Source organism: Homo sapiens, chromosome 16 (assembly GCF_000001405.40).
Source record: "Homo sapiens chromosome 16, GRCh38.p14 Primary Assembly".
NCBI lineage: Eukaryota > Metazoa > Chordata > Mammalia > Primates > Hominidae > Homo > Homo sapiens.
Genome location: NC_000016.10, coordinates 7,013,151 through 7,041,027, shown reverse-complemented (window position 1 = coordinate 7,041,027; position 27,877 = coordinate 7,013,151). Strand labels below are relative to the sequence as shown.

The 27,877-nt window shown below is 42.5% G+C and overlaps 1 protein-coding gene across 30 annotated transcripts in view, besides 1 other annotated feature; it reads right to left on the bottom strand.

Annotated features, from left to right (window-relative positions):
* RBFOX1 (RNA binding fox-1 homolog 1) overlaps positions 1 to 27,877 on the bottom strand; it is a 2,473,620-nt gene that overhangs the window by 672,313 nt on the left and 1,773,430 nt on the right. The gene's annotated exons all lie outside the window — the stretch shown is intronic.
* Positions 26,773 to 26,973: a silencer, noted in NCBI's record as "peak2485 fragment used in MPRA reporter construct". NCBI's record gives its function as "represses an SCP1 promoter by STARR-seq MPRAs in K562 erythroleukemia cells {active_cell/tissue: K562}" and the evidence as "EXISTENCE:reporter gene assay evidence [ECO:0000049][PMID:32103011]".

Genomic DNA, 27,877 nt, shown 5'->3' with positions numbered 1-27,877 from the left:
AGGAGAATCGCTTGAACCCAGGAGGTGGACGTTGCAATGAGCAGAGATTGCATCATTGCACTCCAGCCTGGGGGACAGAGCAAGACTCCTTCCCCCCCCAGCAAAAAAACAAAAAAACAAAAAAACAAAACAAAAAAAAAACTTTATTTACAGAATCACGCAGTGAGCTGTCTTTGGCCCATGGCCACAATTTGCCAAACTTTGACCTATACTACGGAATATTATGAATCCATTAGAAAATGAATGATTTCAGGAATGATGTCTATGACAAAATAAAACAAAAGCAAGTTAAAATCATTTTTAACCTATAATCCATTTGTGTATAAAAAACTATGCACACACACAAGGTACACACACAGAAAAATATCCATTTATACCTGGAAAAAAGTCTGGAATGATAAACAACAAACTTCAGACAAAAGCAGAAAAATGATGTCCTGGGAACCAGACCAATAGTGGAGAAGAAGGGACAGAGAAGCAGGTTTTCTCATTTTTAATCTTGGATTCTGTTATATCACTTCAACTTATTGCAATGAGCATGCATCAGTTTTATAAATTCATACTAAGAGCAGCAATAATAATATAATTTAAATGCCTGAGTTATATGGTTATTGTAATAATTAAATGAGATGTTATTTGTAGAGCATCAAAGCCAAATCTGGCCTGGCACATAGTAAGTATGTGATTAATGGTGGCTATAAAATAACTCAGCCGGGCACGGTGGCTCACACCTGCAATCCCAGCACTTTGGGAGGCTGAGGCAGGAGGACCATGAGGTCAAGAGATCGAGACCATCCTGGCCAACATGGTGAAACCCCGTCTCTACTAAAAATACAGAAAACTAGCTAGCATGGTGGCGGGCACCTGTAGTCCCAGCTACTCGGGAGGCTGAGGCAGGAGAATTGCTTGAACCTGGGAGGCAGAGGTTGCAGTGAGCTGAGATCATGTCACTGCACTCCAACCTGGTGACAGAGCAAGACTTTGTCTCAAAATAATAATAATAATGATAATAATAATAATAATAAAATAACTCCCCATAGCACCAAAAGAGTAAATGTAGGGTGGCTATCTTGAAAAACAAAACAAAAGCTCCAATTCTGCAGGGACATAAGTATTTTTGTGTGGATTCTCTTCAGTAGGAAAGTAAAAGTACAAACAGAAAATAAAAAGAGAGAGGTCGCTTTGCCTCGTCTGCTTCTAGGGTCTCATGTGTAATGTTTATTAGATACCTGAGTTTATAAAGGCCTGAAATCTTTGAACATAATACAGTCCTATAATCCGACGTATGGTTGTAATCATACCCACTGCTTCTTGCAAGTGTATCACACAATAAAGTGTGTCCTCTGATTCTAAGAAGACAGGATAGTTTATGTCAGATAAGCAAATACAGATCCCACCACCGGTCATGGCGGTTGTTACTTTTTGTCACAAGGAAGAACAAAAGTGTGTTACACTAGTAAATGCTTAGGTTTCAGGAAAGGAGGTGAGAAATAATCAATTAAAAAAGTAAAAACAAAAAGTCACAACAATGACTCAAGTCAGCCATGATTAATGAACTTGATTCTGTCTCATGTTGCATAAACGAACAAAATACACTTGAGAAAATAGCTTGGAGAACACACCCAGCTCTCCCACGATGTTTTCCTCTTAACCTTGGGGAAGACCATTATCTGCTGTAAAAATCTTGTCTGGTTTTGAAAGGATGCCAGCTTTGGAGGGTCAAGGGAGACGGACGAAAGAGCTTGTCAAGGCTAAGTACTAAGTAGAAAAAATAATAATGGATTTGTTGTTATACGTAAACTTGCACAATAAACCCAAATGCTGAAAGCTCTAACATATTTAATTTATGGCTAAGAGTCCTCGGGAATACTTTATGGAGCATATCCTAAAATCTCAAAACACTTAGTATTCTTAGCACTCGAATGACCTATGGGGTGCTATCTCCCAGGCAGGACAACACATTTAGTGAGCACTTCTGATATTCCTTTAAACATCATATTGTTTGGTAATAATGGTACTTATATCAAGAGAGTCACTGCTCTGGCTATAAGTCACTGGAGAGATTCAAGTGTTGGTTATCTGATTAAAGGGATGTCAGAGGTCAGGATGCCCACAGAATTTGAACAAACCTCAAATTACACGTTTTAATGAGGTGTTTTCTTGGGAGGAAGTGCTTTTCACACTTGCTCTGCCATGCACCCTCTTGGTAAAGACCCCATTATCAACAAAAGAAGTCCCCCAGGTCCAGACAGATTAATCAGACAGACAAACATTGAGCAAGACATGGCAGCCCCAGGCAGCACGTGGCCAATATCCCCTTCGGCCTCCCACATCTGCTTTCTGCAAGAATGCAGTCTCGTGGAGTTGTTCACTTCAGGCTTGATGCTGGTCTTGAAATGAAAGGGCAGCCCCTGGCCATGAAGAGCCTGGCTGGTCTGACACATGTAAGCACCTTTACAAGCTAAACCACGAAATGTCTTGGCATCTGATACCTTGCAGGGTGGAAGAAACATATTGCCTATTATTTATTCTAATAATAAACCATTACCCCAGGTACATTTTTATTCTCCAGATTTAATAAGGTATTTTGTGAACCAAGGCAGAGGAGGGCTGGAGAAAACAATTGCAGTTATTACAAAGATGATTTCTATTTGTTTCAGCAGCGAAAGCAATCACCATTTCTTTCCCTCATGATCAAGGGTTATAATTGCCCTCCTTCAACCCCATCCCATCCCAAACCCTTGCTCAGTCTAAGAAAATTCAAGCAATACTCACCAAAATGTCCTGGGTAACTAAAAGGGCTTGGCATGCTTCCCTGAACCGGTCTCCTGGGACCATCGTTACCCTATAGCCAGGAAACTCTGTGTAGAATGAGCATCTCAGCGAAGATTTTCCCATCATCCCCCTCTCTACATCCAGAGGTGGGAAAGAGTGTGGAGGGGAGGGCAAGTGGGGGATTTACATACCATTTGAATCTCTCTACTGGGATAGAATATATGTTCTCAAGACATTTTCAAGTTAAGATGTTTTAACTGTAATTTTTTTTCTTTCTCATTGGATATTACAGAGCTCTAATAATAATTTTATCAGAAGTTGATAATTTTATAATCTGCATCCCAATTAAATAGATTCAGCAGAGACACACAGGCCATGGCCTTATCTGGGCAGTCATCTTGATCATATTAACTGAGAGACATTTGAGAGGCATCTAAAATGCAGTGGTTCAGAGAACAAAATCGAAAGCCAGACTTCCAAGGTTCAAAGCTCAACTCAACTCCTTATTAGCTTACAGACCTTGAACAAATTCCTTGCCTGGGTCTACCCATGTGCCCCACAGGGTCATCACATGATTTGAATGAGTTAATATTTGCAAAGCAATTAGAAGAGTGCCTATCACACGGAAAGCACTATATAACGTGCCTTTTCACTACAAGAAAGTAAACTGAATTCAGTAGTCCATTTGTTGTTGTTGTTGTGATTTCTTCTTTTCATAAGTTGACAGTGGACTGGACGTGCCTCACTGTTTCCTTAGATATTTAGCAGACAGCATCACAATTGTCAGAGGTTTATGAACCAGAGCAACTCCATCTTGAATAGGGGCTGGGTAAAATGAAGCTAAGACCTCTGGCATGGTGGTGTATGCCTATAATCCCAGCTACTTGGGAGGCTGAGGCAGGAGAAGCTCTTGAACCTGGGAAGTGGAGGTTATGGTGAGCCAAGATTGTGCCGGTGCACACTCCAGCCTGGGCAACAAGAGCAAAACTCCATCTCAAAAAAAAAAAAAAAAAAAAAAAAAAAAGAGGCTAAGACCTACTGGGCTGCATTCCCAGATGGCTAAGGCATTCTAAGTCACAGGATAAGATAGGAGGTCAGCACAAGACAAGATACAGGTCGTAAGGACCTTGCTGATAGAACAGTTTGCAGTAAAGAAGCCAGCCAAAACCCACCAAAACCAAGATGGTGACGAAGGTGACCTCTGGTTGTCCTCACTGCCACACTCCCACTGGCACCATGACAGTTTATAAATGCCATGGCAACGTCAGGAAGTTACCCTGTATGATCTAAAAAGGGGAAGCATGAATAATCTACTCCTTGTTTAGCATGTCATCAAGAAATAACCATAAAAATGGGAAACAAGCAGCCCCAAGGGGCTCATCATCCACTCTGATGAGGGGCTCCTCTGCCCTTCATCCACTCTGTCTATGAACTAGCCATTCTTATTCCCCTACTTTCTTAATAAACTTGCTTTCACTTTACTCTATGGACTTCCCTGAATTCTTTCTTTTTTTTTTTCTTTGTTTGTTTTTTGTTTTTTTTGTTTGTTTGTTTGTTTTTGAGACGGAGTTTTGCTCTTTCGACGAGGCTGGAGTGCAGTGGCACGATTTCGGTTCACTGCAACCTCCGCCTTACGGTTTCAAGCGATTCTCCAGCCTCAGCCTCCCGAATAGTTGGGATTATGGGCAGCCGCCACAGTATCCAGCTAATTTTTCTAATTTTAGTACAGACACCCAGGCTGGTCTCAAACTCCTGCCCTTGTAATCCGCCTGCCTCAGCCTCCCAAAGTATTGAGATTACAAGCGTGAGCCACCACGCCCGGCCGCCCTGAATTCTTTCTTGAGGGAGATCCAAGAACCCTATCTGGGGATCTGCATTGGGACCCCTTTCCTATAACACAGCGGTAGAAAACCAAGATTGTGAAAAATTGGCTACTGCTTCTGAAAGTTTTAGGATGGGACACTGTAAATCCACATCTACACATTGTAGAGAATGTCAAAAGAAATAAATCATGTAACAACTACAAGGCTGTCATGGAAAAAAAAAAAAATGTCAAGGTGAACTAAGTCCCATGGGACCAATTCTCCAGACAAGGAAATAGGGATAGAAGGCACCCAAGGTGGACATCCCCAGGCTGTCTTTCCATGCTATTCTGACTTTCGCATCTGAAGAGATCTTTACACAAGAGGTCTTTTCTATTGCTGATTTCTATGACTTTACAAAATGTCATTATTTAAGAAATGGGAAGGATTCTGTAGCTTGAGAAACTTGAGGAGTATTCATTTTCTAATTTTCCAGTTCAGTTGTCTGAAAGGGTTGGCTGGGTGGTGGTGGTGACTGTTGCTCTGTATATGTGTGTGTGTGTGTGTCTGTGTTCACATTCTTCCTGGAAAGCTTAATGGAAGGAGTGCTGGAAGACATATGCTTCACACAAAATGAACTCTTAAAACCCCCAACTTAAGGAATCCTAACTGGAAGGACTAGATTCCCAAAAGTTCTGCAACAATGAGCAGGCATTCATGTTAATTGCTAGCAATTTAAAAGGAAAATCTAGGTCACCTGGCTGTTTACTTTATCATCATCAGGATTAATTAGACACTGGAAGTAATGACCGAGCTCAGAGAGCTCTTCAGATTTAAAATAATAATAATAATAAACCAACAACGCAGAGCTTTACCTTCAGAAAGAAAATATTTTCACAAGTAGCGTTCAGAAAGAAACTGAGTGGGAAAATATTGCAATTAAATTCTGCAAATGCGCTCTGAAATAATCCCAGGGGAAGTCTTATCTGTACTTAATATTCAAATAAATATTCTTTTTGTGTGCAGTGCATTCGATAGGGTGCATTTTATTTAATTTAAGTGTATAACGTGATCCGTATCATGAGGGATAATCACAGGGAACTGTGGAACCCTTTAACTAGGATAAATGGGCCAGCACCACAGTCAAATGGGCAAGCCTGGGTGAGGAATGAAGGGGAGGGTGCGGAATCCCAAGTACAGTTCTCACTTGGAGTATCCTGCAGGATCTTAACACTCAAAGTGAGACTGAGGACCAACAGCGTTGGCATCACCTGGAAACTCATTACAAATGCACTGTCTCAGAGGCCCGGTGCAGCGGCTCACACCTGTAATCCCAGCACTTTGGGAGGCCAAGACGGGTGGATCACCTGAGGCCACAAGTTTGAGACCACCCTGGCCAACAATGTAAAACCCTGTCTCTAATAAAAATACAAAAATTAGCCAGGCATGGTGGTGGGCACCTGTAGGCCCAGCTACTCAGAGGCTGAGGAATGAGAATCGATAGAACCGGGGAGGCAGAGGTTGCAGTGAACAGAGATCACGCCACTGCACTCCAGCCTGGGCAACAGAGCAGGACTCCATCTCAAAAAAAAAAAAAAAAAAGAAAAAAGAAAAAAAAAAAAAGTAATGCAATATCTTAGACTCCACCCCAGACCAAGTGAATTAGAAATTGCATTTTCTGAGACCCCTCCCCCAAACCCCAGGTAATTCACAATAAATCTACAGGGGCACTGATGTGAGGTGTCCTCACTGAAAGGCGAATGTCTCCTGTTCTGCTCCCCAATAAAGAGGGCCCTCTGCTAGCCTCACTGATGTGTCTTCAATGAGATAGACACAAAAACATTGCCAGGGATCTTCTCTGGATATTTCACAGAAGTTAAAATTTCAAGGCTCTCTAGGCAGCCTCATCCCCTCTTCCCACTTCCCATCCATCTTTCTGAAGTGCCCTAGAGATAGATGGTCATACACTTTCAGCCAGCTGGAGCCCAGCAAGGAAGAAGGGGGAAGAAGCAGAGGGCAGCGACTCTCTTCATCATCCCGAGACCCCTGGTGCATTGATGATCTCCAACCTCAGCCCCCTCTCCTCCAGCACCAACCTGGTCATTACCAGGCATGATCTAGCTTTCTGCCTTCATCCTACAGTGACTTCTTACAGGGACCTTACCCAGTAGATACTGTCATTATCATTATCCCCTTGAACAGATGAGAGCACTGAGATGGAGAGAGGCTAAACAAGGTGCCCCAAGTTAGGAAAAACCAGAGCCAGGAGTCAAACCCAGGCTATTTGAATCCAGAACCAGCAATGAGAATCACTCAGACAACGTCCTGTTGCTCCAGGGATGGCACTTAAGCCATGGCATGGACACCTGCACCACCGCGTCCCCATCCCCTGCCATACCTACCTCATCTCCGCAATGGAGAGAAATCCAAGTATTCACTAAGTATTGAATTAAATGCCTTTATTATTTTATTTTAGACATTTTAGACAGGGTCTTGCTTGGTCACCCAGCCTGAAATGCAGCAGTGCAATCATAGCTCACTGCAGCTTGAACTTCCCAGGCTCAAATAATCCTCCTGCCCCAGCCTCCTGAGTAGCTGGGCCCACAGGCAGATGCCACTCTAGTGGGCTAATTTGTTTTATTTTTAGTAGAGATGAGGTTTTGCTATGTTACTCAGGCTGGTCCCCAGCTCACGCTCCCAAAGTGCTGGGATTACAGGCATAAGTCGCCACGCCCGGACAAAATGTCTTTCTACTGTTCAATAGGGAACCAAGCCCCATCCCAGCCTCCCTTCCTCATCTGCTTTTGTTTCTGTTAAGTTGCCCCACAGGGAGCCATTCTGTGTCTTTAAAGTTATCCTAAGCATATCACCCATGATGATCAGCTCTGTCCTCTTAAAGGACGTTCACATTCACCATTGTTTTCAGTTTTTGAGACTGAGTCTCCCTCTATCCCCTAGGCTGGACTGCAGTGGCGCAATCTTGGCTCACTGCAACCTCCGCCTCCCGGGATCAAGCGAATCTCCTGCCTCAGCCTCCCAAGTAGCTGGGATTACAGGCATGTGCCATCACATCTGGCTAATTTTTGTATTTTTAGTAGAGACGGGGTTTCACCATGTCAGCCAGGCTGGTCTCAAACTCCTGGCCTCGGGTGATCTGCCCGCCTCGGCCTCCCAAAGTTCTAGGATTACAGGCGTGACCCACTGTGCCCGTCCTGTTTTTGGACTTTTAAGGAGGAGGTAAGGCACGGGTGGTCTCCCTATAATCCCTAAAATCAACACCTTTACCGCCTCGTCATCAGAACCTGCTTACTGCACTTTCCTTCTTCCCTGCCCTGTCTCATCTCCCCACTCAGCCCAAGAGGAGAGAGTTGGCATTCCTTTCTTGCCTTCTGAAGACAGGGCTAGTGGACAGTCTCTACACAGTAGGTGCTCCTGCTATTTTTGCTGAGCTGATTTCCAGCCATTTAGCGTTATTCCTGCTGACTCACACTGTCTCCCAAATTGAAGCTGTTCTCCCACCAGCCAGGAAAAGCCTCCTTCCCAAAAGAGAGACATGCTCTCAGCTGCAGAAATTTGAGAATCTGGAAGTTAGACAAGTTTCCCAGAGTGGCTATGCCATGAGCCTGGAGACACCAAACGCATTTTTAGTTCAGGTAGACCCAAGGCGGGGGTGTCTCATAGAGGGTAAAAGGAAAATTTGCCACCGACAACAAAATAACAAGTGAAATTCGAGGATAAAACTACCTGAAAATGAACCATGTGTTCACTGGAATTATTAGAGATTATCGTCTTTAATTCCATCAAGCAATTAGCTTGAGGAGGGAAAATACTCGTCTAGCAAAACAAACAAACAAACAAACAAACAAACAGAAATAGCTGTAGATGGGGAGATGTTCCCACATAAGATTTAGCTGATCTGTAATTTGCTCATGACCATAGGTTTTATTTTTTTCCTTTAAAAAATTAAGATGGGATTTTTATTATTTATTTATTTATTTGTTTGTTTTTTGAGATGAAGTCTTGCTCTATTGCCCAGATTGGAGTGCACTGGGATCTCAGCTCACTGCAACCTCCACCTCCTGGGTTCAAGCAATTCTTGTGCCTCAGCCTCCCAAGTAGCTAGGACTACAGGCTCCTCCCACCACACCCAGCTAAATTTTTTTGTTTTGTTTTTGTTTTTGTTTTTTTAGTAGAGATGGGGTTTCACCATGTTGGTCAGTCTGGTCTCGAACTCCTGACCTCAAGCGATCCGCCCGCCTTGGCCTCCCAAAGAACTGGGATTACAGGTGTGGGCCACCGCACCCCGCCAAGATAAGATTTTTAAAAATAATAATGAAATTCTCTGATTCTCAAGAGGGGACACTACGGCCATCCGAAAGTTGCTGGCAGCTTCCAAGCCACTAAATACAAAGGAGAATCGACTTTCTTTCCCAGATGTGAGCAAAGCCAGGAGGCCATACTAACTTCAGTAACAAATGCTTCAAATAACGAGGAAGTCCATCCCAACAATTTGGCTGCTGGAAGAAAGCAGGGCCTCCGTAATTATACTGATCAGGGAGAGATCAGTTAGAAGGCAAGGTAGTGGAGCTCCCTGTGTGTCCAGCAGGCCAGCAAGGACCACGTTGGCTTACATGTGAGCCAGGCCCCATGAGACACAAGCCATCTGCATCTTCTCTGCAGTGGGTAAAACACGGGATGTTGTTTGAGGGCACAGAGTATAGTATTTTAAAAATCACAATAGGTAGCATTTATAAAGTACTGGATTATCTCGCCAATCCCATCAAAATTATTCATCACATCTGCCCGATGTCGTTGACATTGCCTTTCTTTTCTTTTCTTTCTTTTTTTTTTAGGCAGGGTCTCACTCTGTTGCCTCGGCTGGAGTGCAGTGGCATGATCTTGGCTTGGCTCACTGCAGCCTCCACCTTACGGGTTCAAGTGATTCTCCTGCCTCAGCCTCCCAAGTAGCCAGAACTACAGGCATGTGCCACCATGCCTAGCTAATTTTTGTATTTTTAGTAGAGACGGGGTTTCACCATGTTAGCCAGGCTGGTCTTGAAATCCTGACCTCAAGTGATCCACCTGCCTCGGCCTCCCAAAGTGCTGAGATTACAGGTATGAGCCATAGCACCCAGCCATGATACTGCTTTTATCTCTACAGTGTAGTCACAAAGGTTAAACAACCTGCCAAAGTTGACATCATGAGTAAATAGAGGAGTCAGGATTCCAGGCCAGGCAGCCAAGCTTAGCTTTATTTTCTTAACTGTAAGGCATTGCTGACTCTCTACATGCAAAGCTGTAGCCACTATCCTGCAGCATACCTGCAGTTGCTTCCTCTCCACCCAGTCTACAGTCTTACTTACAACCCTGGCTACCCTCCTTGGAAGAAGCAGCATCAGCATCATACACCATCTCCCATCCCAAACCAACTAGGTCATAAAGGTCCTCTTTCTGCAGGATCATTCTGCTCCACACACCCCATGTCCTTTCTTGATCATTTTATTTCCAAGATAAATACCCACATTCCCTTCCACTCTTTGTCAAATGACAAGGATTGGATTCATTTCCCTATCCTTATCTCCCCTAAGACAAAAGAAAAAATGTGTGGTTTAGAGTCAGACACGGATGAAGTCAAGTCCTGGACCTGCCTCTTATTTGAGGGCCTTAATTAGACCCCATAACTTTGTATAATGGGTTGAATAGTGTCTCTTCAAATTCAGGTCCACCCAGAACCTCAGAATGTGGCCTTATTTGGAAATACAGTCTTTACAGATGTAAATAAGGTAAGGATCAAGAGAAAATCATAGTAGATTAGAGTAGGTCCTAGATCCAAAGGGAGTGTCCACATACGAAATAGCAAAGAACACACAGAGAAACAAAGACAATAGCATGTGAAGACAGAGGCAGAGACTAGAGTGATGTGGCCACAAACCAAGGAACGCCTGGAGCCACTGGAAGGTGGGAGAAGGAAGGAAGGATTCTACCCTAGAGCCTTCAGAAGGAACTTGGCCTTGCTGACATTTTGATTTCAGACTTGTGGCCTCCAGAACCTTGAATGAATAAACTTCTGTTGTTTTAAAGCCATCCAGTTGGCGTTAACTTATGGCAATGCTAGGAAATGAATACATTTCATATGCCTCATTTCCTCATCTGTAAAATGGGTATGAAAGTCCTGACTCCATTAAACAGAGGCACTCCACTCCATCCCATCTGTGTCACTGAAGAACAGCCTTCTCTATCATGATCCAACCATTTAGAAAAAATGCCATCAGGACATATCTCAGAACAAAGCTCAATGACATCACTACAATTAAAACCACCAGGGTTATGGGCCAATCTACTCATTATAATTTTTGGCACCAATTTGTAATAATGTTTTACTTTCCCACATACTTTTCTGACTATCTATCCCACCATCCTCCACTTTTCCCATAAAGGGATCACACACACGTGACCGAAAAGTGTGTCCTTGTTGACTGTCTTGCTGGAATTCACACATCATGTGTCTACCCCATTCTCCAAATCTCCCATTCTAGTGAGAAGAAATGGCATTTGCTGGGTCTTCATTATTCCCAATGAATGGACATAAGAATCAAGTTATCATTCTTTCATCTTCAAGAAATCCACAAGCCATGCTTTTCATAATGTCCAGATTCATGTGAAGATCAGATCACATGGGACTTTAATCATTGAACAAGTGAACCATTAATAGTGGTTACACCATGAGATGCTACCACCCTATAATTATAGAGTCTCCCAGCTTCTTTCATCTGTTTTGAAAATTAGAATATCCTATTTCCGCATTTCAAATCTCATACCCTTCTGCTTTTTGCCACAAATTGTCAATGATACTTAATGATCTCATGTCCAAGTTACTCTCCTGTTTGGAGATATTAGTCCAGGTAAAATATTAGATTTCTTAAGAGCTAGCACTCTCTTCATTCTGCTTCACCAACACTGACTTTGTCACCTAAACCAAACTCTATTCCATCCTGACTGAAGATGATTTTTCTTGACAGAGAAGACAAGAGCAAAAGAAGAACTGAAGACTCATGTTTCTTCTGTGTGACGCATCAGCTTTCTTCTATCAGGGCCAAAGAGCTTTCCAATCTCTTCTGGCTCTTCTTGATTTTATATATATATACATATACGTATATATATATGTGTATATATATACGTATACGTATATATATGTGTGTATATATATACGTATACGTATATATATGTGTGTATATATATACGTATACGTATACATATGTGTATATATACACGTATACGTATATATATGTGTATATATATACATATATACACATATATATATACGTATATGTGTGTGTGTGTGTGTGTGTGTGTGTGTGTGTGTGTGTGTATATATATATATATATATATATATATATATATATAGCTTTTTTTTTTCTGTTTTATGCTTAGCATTACTAGAAACCGTTAGTTAAGTTCATCTGGAGATTGGTCTTCCAAACAGCATGCTTGCTGCTATGGTCATTTAAACTTTCATTATTTCATAGATGCTTGCAAACTTTCCTAGCAACACATAGCTGAGTGGCAGAGCTTGGATTCCCACTCAGATCCAAGCGATGCCCACACCTTTTCTCATAAGCTGTCCACATACTGCTGGCTTTGTTGATCGCCAATGTTTGGATGTTCCATGGTTTCCAAACTCACATTACGAACCTCCACGTCCCTATTACATTTCCTGTGCATATCAAGTCCTGCAATAATTCACAGTTGGTTCACATTTTCAAATATCCTTTGGGAACATTTCACAAATAGAAGTCACAATGATGTGTGGTTCAATTTTTTTTTTTTTTTTTTTTTTTTTTGTGTGTGTGTGTGTGTGTGTGTGTGAGGGAGTTTCACTCTTATTGCCCAGGTTGGAGTGCAATGCTTCAACCTCAGCTCACTGCAACCTCCGCCTCCCGGGTTCAAGCGATTCTCCTGCCTCAGCCTCCCAAGGAGCTGGGATTACAGGCATGAGCCACCACGCCCAGCTAATTTTATATTTTTAGTAGAGACAGGTTTCCTCCATGCAGAGCCCAAGATGATCAAGCATCAGAGAGATAAAATCCATCCCATCTAACTCCAGCCCTGAGCCCAGGCAGAGCAATTTCACAGAAGCCCATTTATACCAAGTCAGAGCATGAACTGTGTGCCAATTTGATTAGAAAATGGCTTACACGTAGAGCAAGCCCTGTCTATTACGGAGAAAGCTGGACTAATGAATCTTGGAAATGGAAGAGTCTATCTATCCTTCTTCAAATCTGTAAGCCAATTATTATATTGGACCTTGACTTCCAATATTTCTGCAGGCTTCTAGGCAGTCAAACTGTGCCAAGTAACAGGCAAATGAGAAACCACGTTTCTCAGGGCTGCGAACACTTTCTGTGCTGGAGATTAAATAAGGCTTCCTTTCTTTCCTTCTCCTTCTTCCCTTCCTTCTTGCCTTTCGTCCTTCCACCCTTGTTTCTTCCTTCCTTTTCCTTCCCCTTCTCTCCCTCCTTCCTTCTCTTTTCCCTTCTTTTCTTCCTCCCTTCTCTTCTCCCTTCTTTTTTTCTCCCGGTTTCCCTCTCCTCCCTCTCCTTTCTCTCTCCCACCTCCTCCACCTTCCTTCCCTTCTTTCTCATTTATTTCTTCCTTTTCTTGTTTAAAATAAAAAAAAATGCAAGCTGTATGTTACAAATATAAAAGGAAAGAAGTCTATTTGTTTTACTGGTGAATTAAAAACAAACTGACTATTCCTCTTCTGTCTGGAAACCTTCCCTGCCATGTCTTTTGAAAGCTGAATAATGAAAGTTGGGCTTGGGGGATTAAATTCTATGCATTCTTGTTCCCTGGCTGGGTATTTCTAAGTACATTAGTCTTGGTCTAAGACTAAGAGAAACCACAGGGAGTGATTTAGAAAAAAAAGCCCTGAAGCCAGACTGCTTGAGTTTGAATCCTGGCTCTGCCTGACCTTGGGCAAGTTACCTACCCAATCTGTACCTCTCCTATTCCACCTGAAAAAAGGAGATGTTAAGGGTGTCTAACTTACAGGGTTTTTGTTAGGCATCTATGAGATTATATCTAAAAAATACTTTAAGCAGTTCCTGGCACAGAGACAAAATTCTATAATGCATTTTAAATAAAATAGATGTAATTAACTTACCCTAAAAGATTATTCATCCTCTCTATTCATTTACTTGTTTATTAGTTGAACAAATATTTATGAGTTTTTTCTGTGCGCTGGAGAGTTCAATAAGATACAGCTCCTGCCTTCAGGAAACACTCAGTCTCGTAAGGAGGGTAGACTGTTCTTAGCACTCTAAGGCATAGAAAGCGTTTAGGAGAGACGGGTTCAGGAAAGAGCCTCCCCTCTCCTACCAGACTATCTCAGCAAGGGTCCTATTGTTCAGGGAGAATGGAGGAGTGTGTGGGCTGTGGCTGCAGCACAGCTAAACCTTAGGGGTGCTGATGTATGCTTCAGAGAGGGCAAAGCACCCAAGCACTTTGCAGCCTTCCTGGGAGGCCGCCAGCTCCGGTATTACCCTACGGGGCACAGGCTGCTCTAAGCAAAGCCCTCCCTTGCAACTAGGAGATACAGCAAGCCGACTGGAATGTCCAGATCAGCAGGTGCCATGTGTAAACTTTTTCTAAATCTCATTTAAAGGTGGCATAGTGCCCTCTGGCAGCACAAAGTTGAGGCCTCGGAATTGGGTAGGGGAGGTATGGAAGAAAGAGGGTTCAGAGGCACAGTAAGTCACCCGACCTGAGAGGTACAGGGACAGTATTTCTGGTTGTTTCAGCTGGATCCTGACCAGGGGACCCAAGGCCTTTCCTCCTTCCCTGCACCTCTGTGCAGAAACGCCACAGCTGCCAGGAGAGGGGACGGGGAGAAGCCGTATGAAGCAGCTGTGATTGTGTATGTGTGTGAGAGAGATAGAAACAGAGAGAAGAAGAAAAGAGGCAGATTGGAAGTGTGAAAAAAATGAAAGAAGAAGAAAAAAAGAGTCTAAATATTCAGAAATGTAAGTGCTGCCCTCAACTGTTCTTTACCCACTTAATTCTGCAATTTTGAAAACTAGATTGAATTCCTTTGCAAAACCCTTGCATCATGGATACCCGAGTTAAACCGTTAATTAAAAGACATTAAACATGGCCTGGTGGCAATCTCCACGCCTCCAAGTCAGGAGCAGGAAAGGAAAAACAGCAGCTTCATGGGTGTTGGCCTCTTGCCTTCCTAGAAGAGACGGTCTTGATGTCCTCAGAGTAGGCCCCAAGAAGTTGGGTTTAAGGGAGACCCCACGCAGAGGGAGGCCTTCTGGCTGCCATTTCCACCCTGGCCTGTGACCATAGTCCTGCCCACATAGCAAGCACCCCAGCCTGGACACAGCAGCTGCGCTAGTCCTTTTGTTTTCCCTTTGTTCCTTCTTGGTCTGGGGTCTGATCCCAAACCCAGTATGACCAGTCTACAGATACCTGCACCAGCCCATTCTAGACCTGGCTCTCTTTCCAGGCCAGGTGGGAGCTCCCGAGAGGGGTCTAGGCATCCCTGAAGTCCAGGCCTGTACTATTAAGCAGCTCATCCTGGTTGCTGGAGCTTTGAATCCCTGACCTGGGGTTGCTGTCAGATATGGCTGCTCCAGTTTGAATCCCTGCAGCGCCATCTGCTGGCCATCTCCTCTCAGTACCTAGGATTCCCCGGGACGCCCATGGCTCCTGCTCAGCTAGGATGTCCTGACTGGCAGTGCGGCAGGCTCCAGAGGCCAGGCCAGGCCTTCTCCAGCACCCCTGATGAAGAGGTGCCCCCCTCTATCCAAAACCCCCCCAGGACATGCCCAGGTCTCCTTAGCTCTGAGGCTGAGAAGCATGCAAATGCACACTGCACAATCTTATGTCTTGGGATCCGGTTTTGTCAGAGGTGTTTGAACCAGAGCAACTCCATCTTCCATAGGGGCTGGGTACAACAAGGCTGAGACCTACTAGGATGCATTCCCAGAAGGTTAGGCATTCTAAGTCATACGATAAAATAGGAGGTCAGCACAAAATACAGGTCATAAGGACCTTGCTGATAAAAACAGTTTGCAGTAAAGAAGCCAGCCAAAACCCATCAAAACCCAGATGGCCCTGAGAGGGACCTCTGGTCGTCCTCACTGCTATACTCACGAGCGCCATGATAGTTTCCAAACACCATGGCAACATCACAGAGTTACCCTATATGGTCTAAAAAGGGGAGACATGAGTAATTCACCCCTTGTTTAGCATATCATCAAGAAATAACCATAAAAATGGGCAGGCAGCAGCCTTCAGGGCTGTTCTGTCTATGGAGTGGACATTCTTTTATTCCTCTACATTCTTAATAAACATACTTTCGCTTCACTCTACAGACACGCCCTCAACTCTTGTCTTGCGGGAGATCTGAGAACGCTCTCTTGGGGTCGGGATCCAGCCCCTTGCCTGTAACAGTTTCATCTCTGCTTCTTGCCTGGTGTGTGGCCTGTGAATGTCCTGTTCCTCTCTGGGCCTCAGTGTCCTCCTCTATAAAGTGAGGAGTGCAGCAGGTGACTTCTAAGGCCCTTCCATCTGTAGTTTTCTGTGAGCCACGTGACACCCAGCCCCGTGTGAGAACCATCGTGGTTAACATCCAACAGGGTCCAGAGGGAATTGCAGGGAATGGCTCTGAACTCAACATTGAATGCACTGTCTGAAAGACAATCAAGTCCAGCAACAAGAGCAGGACAGAGTGCTGAGGAATTTGTGCCTGGGGCTCCTCCATTCGTATCTAAGTGCCTGCAAAGAACAGGAGATCTCCCTAAGCATCAAACAAAGATGGTGGCAGGGGAGTGGCGACCCCACAGTTATCGCTTGCAATATATCCCTTACCTGCCCCAGTGTTTACACAATGAGGAAGTATCTCCTAACATCTACAAAGAATTTTTGCACAAGGGCCTATAACTACTGCTTATTATTAAGAAGTGCATGAGAGAGAAGCTATGGATTATAAATTCATGGTAGATTATGTTTTAATGTTCCCCAAACAGAAAAATAATTGCTAAAACTGCTTTAGGCATCAAGCTTCATTGCACTCAACTGCCCTCCAAGAATTATTATTTTAAAAAATCACTTATGGTACCAGGATGGCACAATGTCACAGAACCAGGCTCTCCATGGTAGTCTTTGTCAAAGCCACCATGTCTCTGTGCATTCATGTCCAGAGCACGATATGAGTGCCAATGCTGTAAATTAAGGTGCAATTTGTAAATGCTTCATTAATATTTATTAAATGATTACTAGATGCTTTTACAATCTTTAATATGATAACATAAAGCATGTCATTAAAATGCATCACAAGTATATTCTTAGTAAGCCAAGCCACACCCTGCTGTTAAGAAATCCCTGGTTTTATGACCTTCCTCTTAAATCCTTTTTCAACATACGGTTATCAGGAGGATATAGAAACCTAAGTGGCTGTCTTATCAAAACATCCCCTAGGAGAGTGACAGCTATTGCCCTCATGGGAATCAAAAGCAGGGAGTCTTCCTTGTTTTCAACTCCCTTTCCAAACTCGATATACTTTGATCCTGTGGGAAATATATATAGGGATGATGAATAAATTTAACATCTGGGTGATTAAAAATGGCAGCCTACTCCAGAGTGTTCAGAAGGATGCCGAGGCTGTATTTGAGCTAAGTGGAAAAGAACACAGGGATTGATAAGTGATACCTGTTTCTGTGTACTGTAGAGTAAGTAACACCCATCTCTGATTTAAGACAAGGGAGATAACCTAGGCAGAGGAGTTCCAAGGTATACTGGGGCCTTCCCAGTGCTGAAATTATAGTCATGTACCACTATGGCAAGCTAATTTTTTTTTTTTTTTTTTTTTTTTTTTTTTAGTACAGACGAAGTTTCACCATGTTGGCCAGGCTGTTCTTAAAGCCCTGGCATCAAGTGCTCCACCCAACTCAAGCCCATCATTCATTTCTCTCTTTTTTTTTTTGAGATGGAGTCTCACTCTGTCATCCAGGCTAGAATTCAATGACATGATCTCGGCTCACTGCAACCTCTGCCTCCTGGGTTCAAGCAATTCTCCTGTCTCAGCCTCCCAAGTAGCTGGGATTACAGGCATGCACCACCACTCCCAGCTAACTTTTTGTATTTTTAGTAGAGATGCGGTCTGGTCTTGGACTCCTGACCTCAGGCAATCCACCCGCCTTGGCCTCCCAAAGTGATAGGATTATAGTCATGAGCTACCATGCCCAGCCCATTCATTTCATAATGGTCATTACCTCCCTCCTTCTGCAGCCTCCCACTATGTGTTTTATTTTCTTTGAATTTACTCAGCTCTCTCCTACCTCAGTGCCTTTGCACTGGCTGGGCTTTTTGCATAGGATTCTCTTATCTCTACACTTCAAATGGTCATTCCTTCTTATTTTTCAACCTTCACATTAAATGCCAACTTCTGCAAAAGCATTTCACTGCCCATTCTGCCTCCTTCCTGGCTGTGTCTATTTAGTGATAAAGAATGAAGACTCAAGAGTGAGACAATGGGGTGCAAGCCCTAGTTCTGCAGCATTCTAGCTGTGTGAACATTGGAGGCAGTTGTTCAAATTCTCTGCCCCTCAGCTTCCTTGGATATAAAATCAGGTCAATAAGAATAGAACTTGTCTCATGGATAAAATGAGCTAATATACCAAACATTAGGAAACTGTTTGGCCCATACTAAGACTTCGTTTTTCCTCATTTTGCCTACTTACCTTTTTTTCTCTTTTTCTGCTTTCATCTGCTACATGTCAGCTCTATACGGGGATGGGCCTAATATATCCAGAGCCTACTGCAGTGCTTGGCTCACAACAGCTTCCCAATAAATATTAGATAAGTTTTCAAAATTAGGATCTTCACTAGGGTTATCATGAAAAAGGCCTAGTTCCTGACCTCACAGGGAATCTGGAGTATAAAGAAAGAAAAAGAAATACGACATTTCTAACCAACTCCATAAACTCAGAGAGACAGAGGGAAATGTGGGGCATGAAGATATGCTCTGGGTTTAAGCAGACCTGACTTCGAATCCCAGCTCTACCATCTTTAAGAATATGGGGTTCACGGCCAGGTGCAGTGGTGGTTCATGCCTGCAATCCCAGCACTTTGGGAGGCTGAGGTGGGTGGATCACTTAATGTCTTGAGTTCAAGACGAACCTGGCCAACATGGTGAAATCCCGTCTCTACCAAAGAATACAAAAATTAGGGGTGTGTCTGTAGTCCCAGCTACTCAGGAGGCTGAGGTGGGAGGATCATTTATAACCCAGGAGGCAGAGGTTGCAGTGAGTGGAGATTGCTCCACCACACTCCAATCTGGGTGACACAGTGAGACCCTGTGGAAAGGAAAGGAAAGGAAAGGGGAGGGGGAAGGGGAGGGGGAAGGGGAGGGGAAGGGGAGGGGGAAGGGAAGGGGAGGGAGAGGGGGAGGGGGAAGGGGAGGGGGAAGGGGAGGGAGAGAGAGAGAGAAAGAAAAGAAAGAAAGAAAAGAAAATAAAGAAAGAAAGAAAAGAAAGAAAGAAAGAAAAGAAAGAAAGAAAGAGAGAGAAAGAAGGTTCTGGCAATTTAGAATGAAGATAATACCAACTACCTTCAAGAATTAGAAATAAATCTATAAAGGCTTTTCAAGCATGCCTGGTATATAGTACATGCTCAATAAATAAAAACTGTTACTCTTGTTTTTAGGGTCATTTTTGTTATGTGCAAAAAGCTTGGTAAATACTATGATGGACACTTAATCCAGTCTGTGCAAATAGGCTGAGGGAAATAAAAATTTTAATAAAATTTTTATATAATTTATAAAATATTATATTTTATAAAAAATAAAATATTTTACTTTTATATATTTTATAAAATATAATATATTTTATAAATATAAAAATTTTATAAAATTTTATAAATTTTATAAAATATAATATTTATATAAAATATTAATATAAAATATATACAATATAAATTATATTAAAAATTAATACTGATATATAAAACATATATACAAATATATAAAAAACATACATAAAACAAATTTAAAAATAAAAATATTTTAAAATATATAAGAACATAAATACTAAAATATTCAAAAATGTTTTTAAATATTAAAAAGTAAATATATATATATAGAGAGAGAGAGAAAATAAAATGAAACCAAGAGGACTCAAGTAGTAACCAAATGAGGTGGGGGCCGACGCAACACATAAGAAACAACAATTTACTCAGCAACTAACTGAGAAGAGACAAGTTTCCCTTGTCCTGTGATGCTTCGTTTATTCATTTATTCAACAAAAAACAATTTTTTTGAAAAAGAGTCTTGCTCTCTCACTCATGCTGGAGTGCAGTAGCACGACCTGGGCTCACTGCAGCCTCTGCCTCCCAGGTTCAACCGATTCTCCTGCCTCAGCCTCCCCAGTAGCTGGGATTACAGATGCCTGCCACTATGCCCAACTAATTTTTGTATTTTTAAGTAGAGACAGGATTTCACCATGTTGGCCATGCTGGTCTAGAACTCCTGGCCTCAAGCGATTTGCCTGTCTTAGCATCGCAAAGTTCTGGGATTACAGGCATGAGCCTTCAAGACTGGCCTCGAGAAAAATTCTTAAGTGCTCACTTAAGCCGGTCAGGGTGGTGGATACTGGGAACATTAAGGATGTGGGTGGGAATGCAGGGATTTCACTGAGCTCATGGTTCTCAGAGGGAAGGACATTTCCCTCCTCCTCTTCCTCTTCCCTCTGCAGTGTGATGACACAGACAGTGTCCAATGTCATTTCCTTTTCTGTTAATACAAGTTCATCACTCTTTATGTGGACATGTCTGATCTTCTGGTTGCTTTGATAAAACACAGATATTGACCTAGATTCCTTATTTTATTTAATTTTCATAAACATTATATTTTGAAAATATTTTAGATTGGCTGGGCGCGGTGGCTGACGCCTGAAATCCCAGCACTTTGGGAGGTTGAGGCAGGTGGATGACAAGATCAGGAGTTCAAGACCAGCCTCACCAGCATGGTGAAACCTCATCTCTACTAAAACTACAAAAAAGTAGCTGGGCATGGCAGCCTGTAATCCCAGCTACTCCGTAGGCTGAGGCAGGAGAATCACTTGAACCTGGCGGACAGAGGTTGCAGTGAGCCAAGACTGTGCCTCTGCACTCCAGCCTGGGTAACAGGGCAAGATTCTGTCTAAAAAAAGAGGAAATAAAGAAAGAAACAAAGAAACAAAGAAAAAAAAGAAAATATTTTAGATTTACACAGAGGTATAAAGATGGCATAAAAGAGTCCCCGGGTACGCCGCACCTGGCCTGAGACATGACAATTGTAGTAAATACCTTGACAATGGAAGTGGGGAGGCTACAGGAAGACATGAAAGGTTCACCTAAGCTGATCTAGAAAACACTACAGACGCCTTCCTGAGGGTAGCAGCACTTCATCAGAGAAAAAAAAAAAAAAGAGAGAGCCAGAAGAAAGGGAATATAGTTTCAGGTGGAGAGAACAAAATGTGGAAAGGCTGGGAGGTAAAAGAGAGCAGGGTTTAGTTGGAACACACGCAAAAATGTCAGTATTGCTGGACCACAGATTGGGAGGTGTGGAACAGCTAGAGAGAATCATATGTTCAGGATTAATGGGAATTGGGGCGTGGGTATTTCCTTGTACAAGCTAAACCTGGTGGGCAAAGCCCATAAACATGCAGTGTTTGAAACCAAGCTTGTTCTCTTTAGCATGAGATTCACTTCCTTACTTTTTTTCTGGTCCAAGTCACACCTTTCCCAGTAATGGCCTAGCCTAGGAATCACAGCCCTGATCACATCATTCTAACTGTAAAATGAAACTACGTATTCACAGAACAGATCATTCATTCGAACTGTAAAGTAACTGCAAATCCACAGCACAAACAAGAGGAGAGAGAGGACCATGGGCTCAGGGGTTCAGACAAGAGAGCTTTTGACAACTTAACAAAAAGTACAAAATCTCTTAGCAAAACCTACAACAGCATGAATGCACTCTCCCACTCTCTCTCTCCCACTCACACAAACACACACATACTTTCATGAAGTCCATGAATCTCAGCTAAAAGGTCTTACTCCAAAGAATTCATTTTATATGAAAAATTGGATCCCTTTTCATCCTAAACATCAGCATTTTCCAAATCTACCTGTTTTTTTCTCAAGCACCAACCTAACAAAACCTAAACAAGGCAAACACACCAAACCACCTAATATTATATAATTTTATATAAAATAATTTAGTGTCCTAAAAAATTTTAGAAATATTACAAAGGAATGGTTATTTTCAACTCAATCAGTATCATTACCTCTCAGTCTTTACACATACACACACAGACATACACACACTCACACACACACACTTCTAAAAACTAGGAAACCAGGAACAGTTTTTTTCAGTTCTGAACAAGAACGCTTTCTTTTTGCTTCTTCTTTGCTTATTTATTTATTTATTGCTTTTTAATTTTTTTGTAGAGACGAGGTCTCACTGTGTTGCCCAGGCTGGTCTTGAACTCCTGAGCTCAAGAGATCCTCCCACTTTGGCCTCCCAATGTGCTGAGATTACAGTCGTCAGCCACTGCACCTGGCCTAGAGTGGGTTTTAATCTGTAGACGTTGTATTTCTTCTTTTTTTTTTTTAATACTTTAAGGTATAGGGTACATGTGCACAACGTGCAGGTTTGTTACATGTGTATACAGGTGCCATGTTGGTGTGCTGCACCCATTAACATGTCATTTACATTAGGTATATCTCCTAATGTTGTGGAACACAGTGTGGCAATTCCTCAAGGATCTAGAACTAGAAATAACATTTGACCCAGTCATCCCATTACTGGGTAAATACCCAAAGGATTATAAATTATGCTGCTATAAGGACACATGCACATGTATGTTTACTGCGGCACTAATCACAATAGCAAAGACATGGAACCAATCCAAATGTCCATCAATGATAGACTGGATTAGACGTTGTATTTCAAAAACAGGAGCAATTAAGACAATATTCATGAACACCCACGCACACACAATTATGCATAAAGAAGCATCTAGAAAGAAGTATCTAACTCTTAATGGAGGTGGCCTGAAACAACTCCCGGAGGTTAGGCTTCTCACTGAAACTAAACATCTCGCCCAAAATATTAGAAGTCCCCTTGCATAAGGAGAAGCTGGAGGAAACACCTAGAATGCAAGCCAGTAGAGAATGCCCCCTTCTTCAGGTAGTTACTAACTTGCAGGATCCACGAATGCACGGCTCGTGGAAATTCAGCAAGGGCTTAAGACAGATTTCCAGATGGGCTTCCCTTCCTAAGACCTAGATGCTCCACAGAGAGAAAACAGCTGGGTGTACATGCAGGTTGGCTGGAGGAGCTGGCCACGCCTGTTTTCAAACGTGAATGACAACCTCCTAAATGATATTTTGTAAAATTCCATTCCCTGAAGACCACAACTGCCCGTAGAGAAAGGGGGCACACCTAATTCACACGTCGCCGACAGTTTGCAAATATAGCATTTTGGTAAATGTCTTTCATCTCTCTGTTGTTGCTAAGCCTCGAAGACTCCAATTCTCTCTGAATGAATGAATGCACAAATAAATAAATAAACAAACAGAAGAAAACGCTTAAGCACACCACGATGTTCTTTTCCCAGAGGGTGATAATTCATCAGTGTTTGTTTGGAAGTTGGCCTGTCACAGGGTTGTGAAAACGTGAAGAGAAAAGCTATTGAACATCTAGAAAAGGAAAAGCTTCCCTCACCAAGGTCAAGCATGTATCAGCCATGAGACAAAGCAACACTCATTTCAACCTGAGGCCACAATGTACCTTGACCCCAGCCTCATGAAAACAACAATTTGCAGTCGTCTATAAAACACTTCCTCTACTTTCTCTGTTCCGTTGGCTTCTTCCAAACGCAGACTCCTGAGTTAGCAGTATCTGGCTATATTTTACAAGCATGTGTGCGCGCGTCAGTGTGTGCGTTGCATGCTAAGGTTTGGGGCCAAGATTTATCTCATTCTCTGATGGCATTTTATCGTTATTAGAGAGCCATAAATTTCAGCTCCGTTAGCACTGCATTTAAATATGCACCCGCCAAGATAGAAAGGTGCTGGATCTATAGTACACTATAAATTTCCATTATTTGCCATCATTCTATACTTGGGCCTTGGCAGAGCACAGCCGAGGCTGCACATTTTGTTTAGATAGCTCCCATTCCCTGAAGGGAAACTTCGCCAACACTTGAAGCAGATACGATTTGCTGGCCGCGACTCTGTTTGCACCTTAACAGCTGTTTTGCTTTTTTATTTAGAGAGAACAGGGTTGCCACCATCTGTCTTTTGAAAAATGAGTTCTGCTCACAGCAACATGGAACAATAAAAAAAGAGAAAGAGGCTGAAGGATGAAGCCAAAAGTCATGAAAGAAAGAGGGTCGCTCAACCAGGAAATGAAAATAATGGTGAAACCTTTACTACTGATGGGACAAAAACATGAAACAAATTTACCAAAATGCCAGTGAGGGATTTCAAGGTTGGTACACAGGGTCAAGTGACAGCCAGAAAAGAAACAGTCTTAAGTTCTCTGCAGCAAGTGCTGGCCGAAACCAAATCACAATAACCTCACCTGGCGGGTAACCACGTCCTGTCACCTACCCTGCTCACAGCATCCTAAAACGGCCCAGTGAAGTAGACAGTTTAATCAACTCCACTTTAGAAAAAAGAAAAATACGGGAATAGGCATCAGTCACATGTGACTTCAAGTTCAGCATTTCCACTTTCTGGTTTTGCATCGTGTATCACGCCTGTTTCCACATCCACCAAGTGAGGCGTGTCTACCCAAGTGGAAGTGTGGCTGGAGGAATTACGTGAGATGATATATGCAAAACGCTGTGTGCAATGCTTGGCACATAGGTGTGCTGAATACACTGTGGCTGTGTCTGTTATCACGGCAGTTCAGTGACTTAGGTTACGTCCCGAAACAAGTGAGAAACATGAGCCCAGATTTAAATCCAGTCTGCAGAATTTAAGTTCAGTGCCTTGTTTTCAGTATCCGAAAGGCTTCTTCTAAAACTCAACTCTATAGGCTAGTTTATACCATGACACCATATTAACTCCCAGTCTTCAGTTTGAATAGTATGGCAGAAGGATCTACCACATGTCCGAGACAGATCTTGGGGATGAGGCAGGTCCCGTTCCACATAATTACTTGGGGATACATGTTGATGGCGATTTCCTGATCTCAACAAAGGACTTCAAATTCACCGCGGCAAGGGATGGTCATGTCTGGTGGTGTCTCACTCTTCCATGCTTTGTCCCAGAAGTGATGAACTTTACTAAGCCTACAATTCATTGGCAAGAACAAGCCTTATGGTCTCACTTAACTGCAATGAGTGACTAGGAAGTGTAGTCTTTCCAAGAAAGAAACCCTATCACCACACAGCAATAACTACTGGTGTTGCCTATCACACCAAATAATGGGTAAATGATGAATTAACTGGGTCTTTACCCTTCAAAGAGAAGTTAGATTTCCCTGAAACACGTTGCTTACCTCTATAGATGTAATTAAAGCCAAGTAAATTTAGTATTTCACAATTGCTTATTGTGGAATAATATTTCTTTCTACCCAAATCAGAAAATGTTATTAGTCAGAAAAAAAAAATCTTTAAGAAAAAAAAAGAAAATGTTATTAAAATGAATTATTGGGAATGGAATGGAACATAATAGAAATGTGAATAACTAGACCGCTAGTCATAAAAAAATTTCAAATACTTCTTGTTTGCTCAAAAGAGCCTTTTAAACAAGAGGAGATGAACCACAAATGGTGTCTAATAGGCTCTTAAATAAGCCAAAATCTCAGAATAATGTGAACAACCTTCTATCCAAAGCAGTCCTGAGAATTAATTGATGCTTGATTTGGGAAGGGAAAAACACTTTTTCCTCTCCCCAGCCTCTGTCTGAACACTGATGAGCAAAACTTCCTGCTCAGTGCCTTATACTCCAGAAGATTCAGATTCCATAAGTCTATAATACGGCTCAAGTTTCTTTGTTTTTGCCAACTCTGAGGTGGTTCTGATGCCCAGAAAAGGCTAAGAAGCCAAGCTCCAGATCTACTCCATAGTCTAGAAGAACAATCCCAGGAATGCGAGCAGTTTCTGATTTGCAGTCCCAGGCCATATGCTCACCCATAGCCTCAGCGCCTATAATGATACTAATGCCTTCACAATGCCACTGGATGCATCTGCTGCTGTCACCACAACAAATCCAGACTACTGAGAGTGACTAAGAAGAAAGGAAAAAGAGAACATGAACTGACCCTTAACTCTGTCTCAGACCCCAAGTTTATGCTATTCCATAATGCAAGAAAAAGATAAACAGAATCCCTGCATTCAGGAAGCATAGAACCTGGTAAAGAAGCTAAGCACGGTGGCTCACACCTGTAATTCCAGCCCTTTGGGAGGTCCAGGCGGGTATATCACAACGTCAGCAGTTTGAGACCAGCCTGGCCAATATGTTCAAAAGTGCCTCTAGTAAAAATACAAAAAAATTAGCCGGGTGTGGTGGCACATGCCTGTAATCTCAGCTACTCAGGAGGCTAATGCAGGAGAAGTGCTTGAATCCTGGAGACGGAGGTTGCAGTGAGCCGAGACAGTGCCACTGCACTCCAGCCTGGGTGACAGAGCGAGACTCCATCTCGAAAAAACAACCTGGTAAAGAACTTGGCTTCTAGTTTATCATCCACTCTCTCTCACTCAAGATTCCATTCCCATTACCTTGAAAGACTGAGAATCAAATCCAAAATATATTTTCCCAACCTTTTAAATGTATTTTTGCAAAGACAGTTATCCCCTTTAAAATTCAGTTTAAGACGGGGTGCAGTGTCTCACTCCTGTAATTCTAGCACTTTGGGAGGCTTATCACTGTAATCCTAGCACTGTGGGAGGAGAGTGGATCACCTGAGGTCAGGAGTTCGAGATCAGCCTGGCCAACATGGTAAAACCCCACCCCTACTTTAAAAAAAAATAAAATAAAATAAAAACAAAAAAATAAAAATAAAAAAAAGCCAGGCGTGGTGATGCATGACTGTAATCCTGGCTACTAGGGAGGCTGACGTGGGAGGATTGCTTGAACCCAGGAGGCTAACATTGTAGTGAGCCAAAATCATGCCACTGCACACTCCAGCCTGGGCGACAGAGCGAGACTCCACTTCAAAAACAAACAAAACCTTCAGTTTACACATCATTTTGAACAGGTTATTTTCATTTGTCAAAGTTTCAGCACCTTGGACAGTTCTTTTTGAGCATTTATTCTGCATACACAATTGCCTGTCCCAATAAATCGGCCATTCCAATGACATTGTGTATTTATTTTTAATATACTGAGTGAATACTGTTACATATTTCATCCTCAAGTTCCTTGAAACCTACTCTTCCTTCTTTTAGTGAGAATACTGACGTACGGAATAGAGTATATAGCATTTTAGCCAAGCGCCGTGGCTCAAATCTGTAATCCCAGCCCTTTGGGAGGCTGAGGCAGGAAGATTTTTGGAGATCAAGAGCTCAAGAATGACCTGGGTAACATGGTGAGACCCCATTTCTACAAGTTTTTAAAAAATTAACTGGGCATGTTGGTGCACACCTGTAGTTCCACCTCCTTGGGAGGCTAAGATAAGAGGATTGCTTGAGCCTGGGAGTTTGAGGCTGCAGTGAGCAGTGATTGTGCCAGTGCACTCCAGCCTGGGCAACAGAGAAAAACAGTCTCTCTTAAAAAACAGACTTTATATAATTTGTTAATGGCATCCTCCCTCCTCCCTGATTCCAGGTAATATAACATTAGTAGTTGTGTTGCAATGATAGGTTATACCAGAGTTTCTCAACATCAGCACTGCTAACATTTTGATACAGACAATTCTTTGCTTTGGGGACTGTCCTGTGTAATGCAGGATATTTAGAGGCATGCCTTCACTCCATCTGCTAGATGCGAGTAGCATCCTCTTCCCAGTCGTAGCAACCAAACATGTCTCCAGACATTGTCACATGTTCTCTGGGTCAGAAAGTGGGCAATTTTTCCTTCAAGTGAGAGGGACTGGTTTATGTTTATTGCACGTATAACATGAGCAGAACACTGAGTTAAGCTCCTAGCATACCTTACTTCATTGAATTACCTCAGCAGTCCTATGTGAGTAGGGACTACAAGCATTTTTTCACCAAAGAAAGGATGCTTAGAGAACTAAATGGCTCAATCTCAGTCACAAAGCCAATGAGTATCAGAGCATTACACCACAAATT